Raw genomic sequence first — 4,958 nt, forward strand, 5'->3', positions numbered from 1 at the left:
GAATCTGGACAAGCAAACCTGAGAACAACCAGTGAAATTATAAGAAGTCTTCTTAGGCTCTAAATTGTGGATGATTGCAAGAAGACCACCGCAGTAACCACTATGGGGCCTCAACACATACATACAGTTGTGAAGAACAGTTGTGAGAGACTTTAGGAGAACATTTTATTGTTATTTAAAAGCTGTAAAAATGGCCGGGCAAGGTGGCTCACGCCTGTAATCCCAGCACTTTGGGAGGCCGAGGTGGGTGGATCACGAGGTCAGGAGATTGAGACCATCCTGACTAACATGGTGAAACCCCGTCTCTACTAAAAATACAAAAAATTAGCCGGGCATGGTGGCGGCCACCTGTAGTCCCATCTATTCAGGAGGCTGAGGCAGGAGAATGGCGTGAACCCGGGAGGTGGAGCTTGCAGTGAGCCGAGTGAGCCACTGTGCACCAGCCTGGGTGACAGAGCAAGACTCCACCTCGAAAAAAAAAAAAACTGTAAAAACAAAAAAAATTAAGCAGGACAAACCCAACTAACTGTATGAAGCAAATAACTGTTGTCTATAGTCTATCTAAACTTCCAAGGTAGAAAAAGTTTTATTACCAATTTTATTTTCTATCTCATTGGAACATATTAATTTTTATATGTTTTTATCTTCTGTTTGAATACAGAGCAATTGCTCTTTCTCTCTCTATATATGTATATATATATAATATATATACATATATGTATATAAATATAATATATATACATATATGTATATAATTCCCTACTATACATTCGTTTACCAAAAAGCACACTATTCTTCAATTTTTTTTTTTTTGCCTTTGTCAAAGAGGAATTATAGTTCTGTATGATCCTACAATGAGAGTAAATTGTACCATTTGTCCATGGTTGCCAAGCAGATTCTATATTCTTGATGTGCTGGCATGTTTTGTTCATTTTAAGTGAAACTATTTCCTATTTTAGTTCTAAAATGTCCCCAGAGGCCAGGCACGGTGGGTCACGACTGTAATCCCAGTACTTTGGGAGGCCGAGGCGGGTGGATCGCCTGAGGTCTGGAGCTCAAGACCAGCCTGACCAACATGGAGAAACCTCGTCTCTACTAAAAATACAAAAAATTAGCCAGGTGTGGCAGCACACGCCTGTAATCCCAGCTACTTGGGAGGCTGGGGCAGGAGAATTGCTTGAACCCGGGAGGTGGAGGGTGCAGTGAGCCTAGATCATGCCATTGCACTCCAGCCTGGGCAACAGAGCAAGACTCTGTCTCAAAAACAAACAAAAAGTGCCCCCAGGTGACAATAATATAAGCAAAATTTTAAGGAAAAAAAACCTGCTTTTTGTAAAAGCCACAATGATTACACATAATAGTACAAAATGATATTATATGAAGCACTAGTGGTGTTAAACATCCTTTGGCTTTTAAATTGTATTCACACAGGGCTAGCCAATCAAATAAGAACCCAGAACTCATTCTCCTTTCTCCTGGGCTCTACAAAAATAAGAATTTTAACCATCTCACAAGTAACAATGAAAGAAGAAAATCTGTTATCATTGTTTGGTCATTAAAATTTTCCTTCTTAATTAATAAGCAAAAGCAGGAGAAAAAATAACTCCTTAAGAAAAAGTAAAAAGTGTTGTATGGAAAAGTACTTCTAATGCCCATAAGACAGCAGAGAACAATTTAGATAATTAAAAAACAAGAAAAACTATTTATTTAGATTAAAAATATAGTCTAAGTGTAGACAGGGTCAGTGTTTTTTATTTAAATATATAATGTGATAAAAGGGTCTTTGCCGAAGGATCTTTGTACACGAAAAGGCTCACTTTTGTAATTCCAGTCATCGGAATTATTTGAACTCTAACTGCTGCTAACCTGATCCTGGAATTTGAAGTGAATAAGGTTGTACCTTCTTTATAAATTATGGTATCTGGATTTTGATCCATTATTTCTAATTAGACAAAGGTAAATAACGTTTTCCTCTTATTCCTTTGATGCCAGGATAATGTTATGTTCTATTCTCTTTAGTATTAAAGGCCTAAAAAATAACAATGTAAGTGAATAGTGCTTTTCTTGCCCCAAACTTTGCTTGTGCCTTCTTTCTGTGTTGGCCAAGCTACTTAGAATTTAAAAAGAACAAAGAAGCATGGGCGGCTTACAGTAATAGGATTAAAATATGTTAATTACAAGTAGGAATGAATGTCAAGAGAAATTATTTGCAGTGGTCTCATTTTTTGGGTTCATAGACTTCTTAACTTCCCTTAGGACTGCACACATTATATGAGTGATGTGCCCATATGTTTGTTTCTTATAAACTTATTTTTTGTTGAGGAGATTTATGCGTTCATATAGTTTTTATAACATTTATTATGGTTCCAGTTTTAGAGAATCTCTCAAAGGAAGCTATGCAATAAAATTGTCCATTACAAATACTTCATTAAACCTTTTTTATTTTATAATTCATGATACTATTAAAAAGATATGTCAAAATATGTATTTAAAAATTATTGTTCTAAATATTAATTTTTAATTATTAAATCTCATACCTTTTATTTTTGCATATATCTTTAATAGAGGTGTAATCAAAGTGCATGTATGATATGCTTCCTATTTTTTGCATAGATTTAGACTTTTTCTAAAAATGTTTTAAATTGTTGCATAATTTGGTTATTTAATGAGTGCTTACTTGTTCATTGGTTCTTGTCCAAAAAAAGAGTATTTCTTTTGTGAGTCTGTATATTTATTTTCCTCCTATTCAGGTATCAGATAGCCGCATTTATTGTAATAATAAAAGGTGACATATGTAAGTATTAATAAAATGGGCACTTAGTCATTACCATAAATTCATGCTCATGCATGGACTTTCGATACGCTTGTGCTCAGATTTTTTTTTTTATTTTTGCCAAAAGTGGAAAATAAAAGTGTATATTGGGTACTCACTATATTTGACAAACTAACTTTTGAGGGAGAAAGAGAGAGAGATGACCAGGACCCATTCCAACAGAAGCTTATAGTCTAGTAAGGGTACAAAGAATACACAATTCATTTAATACAGTGTAAAAAATATACTGACTAGTATTTTTACTCATAGTTATCCTTGAAGAAAATTCAACAAATTATGTATTTCTTGGACATAAATAGGGAGGGAAGATGGATTAGTATGAGATGAGGATGGAGAATCAAACCATAGAAGGACAAGCTCAGGATATGCTAGAATCTTATCATTTATTCTGTAGGAGATGAAAAGTATGTAAGTTATGATAATAAGAGAAAGATTGCATTTGTTTATGTCACTCTCTTCACAAAATTTGCATTATTTTACTGATATATAATATAGTAGAATCATAAAATATGTATACACTTTATAAAAATATAGAGTGTCAGAGAGCTTAATATATTTTTACCAGTAAGATGAAGACTGAACATGAAGATATGCAATTAATTAAGTTTGGGGACTACATTGATTTAGAGGAAGAATTTGAGAAATAGAGATGAAAGAAGGCAGTTAGGAGGGTATTGCAAGAATCCGGAGATAATTACAGACTAAACTAAAAGAAAAACAAAAAACAATCTCCAGTTGAGTCATCCTGTAAGTCATCCTATGAGGCCTTGGACTCCAGGATCTTTCCTGGATGGCCCCAGCTATGATATAACTTATGACATCTGGTGGTTGAGCATCATGTCAGGGCACCTCTGCATTCATGCGTTAAACATCGTTACAGCTCTCCATGACTTTAGGTTATTTAGACAATGCATTTTGTTTTCTGCTGTCTCCAAGTCTGTCAGTCCACACAGAGACACTATTTTTGCTGCTTTCCTGTGCCCTATGGGCCAGCAGAAATCTGGAGAACTGCATAGCCCTTTGTTCCTATCAAGTTCATAATGTTGCCACAAGGTTACAGACAGTAAGCAGGAACAAGTTCTCTCTTCTTATATGTAGATATCTATTTGAAGGTTTTTGTCACTTCCCAGGTTTTGGTCTGAGAGGAATGAGGGTGAAGTTATCTAAGGGGAGCTAGCTCTCTTTAGTACAAGGATGCAAGATGGGTAGAGAAGGAATTGTCAACTGGCAGAGAAAAAGAAAGAAAAGAGAAAGTAATAAAGAAAAAAATAAAGCATCTAGTGCTCATTTTCAGGGACTCACAATTTCTTAAGTTGGATTCCAATTTCAACTTTAGAAAAACCCGTGACATGTGTGACCTGTGGCCTGTGGCAGTTGTGTCATTGCAGCAACCATAATCGTACAACAAATTACCTTTTAGCCTTTCCATAAACCTTTATGGATAAATGAAAGTATTCACTCTAATTTGATACACAAAGATAATGCTTAACTGTCCAGTAACCCAATGAAATCAGAGTCCATCACAAATTTCTCCATCATTGGAAGATTGAACTTGTCAAAAATGTTTCAATAGGTCACCGGGTCCATAATACATCCATAATAGAACCAGTTGTTTTATTTCTCAATTTTTCTTTACTGGTAGTAGTGTTTTGAGAATTTCAAGAAGTCATTTGGACTTTGACCATAAGGCCAAAGATATCAAGAGTGTTGTTATTTTTTTTTTCTGAGTTGCAGATAGTGCATTGGCATTTATATGTTTTAAAATAGAGTTCATCTTGCTATGCATATTTTCTATGAAGTAACAGCAGTAAATCAAAGTGCAGTAAAGAAGAGTAGATTTATTTGGTTAGTGGTAGTAAACCTATAGCTTTGAGAAAATATTTTTAAAGTCTATCAGTTACTAATCATTTTCAAAATTGCTTCACACCATAATAATTTGACCAAGCTTGATTATTACTATAAGTTCTTTCTAAAAAATGAAGGAAAGTAGAATGGGAAAAACACATTTTTAAATTACATTTTTAAGGTATTCCCAATATTTATTATATCCTAAGACAGAAATACCATTAGAGGGGGGCTTTGGAACCGCAATAGTTTATAATTCCCAATCTCTTTTGAAATTTAT

The sequence above is a fragment of the Homo sapiens genome, chromosome 2 (genome assembly GCF_000001405.40).
Source record: "Homo sapiens chromosome 2, GRCh38.p14 Primary Assembly".
Taxonomy (NCBI): domain Eukaryota; kingdom Metazoa; phylum Chordata; class Mammalia; order Primates; family Hominidae; genus Homo; species Homo sapiens.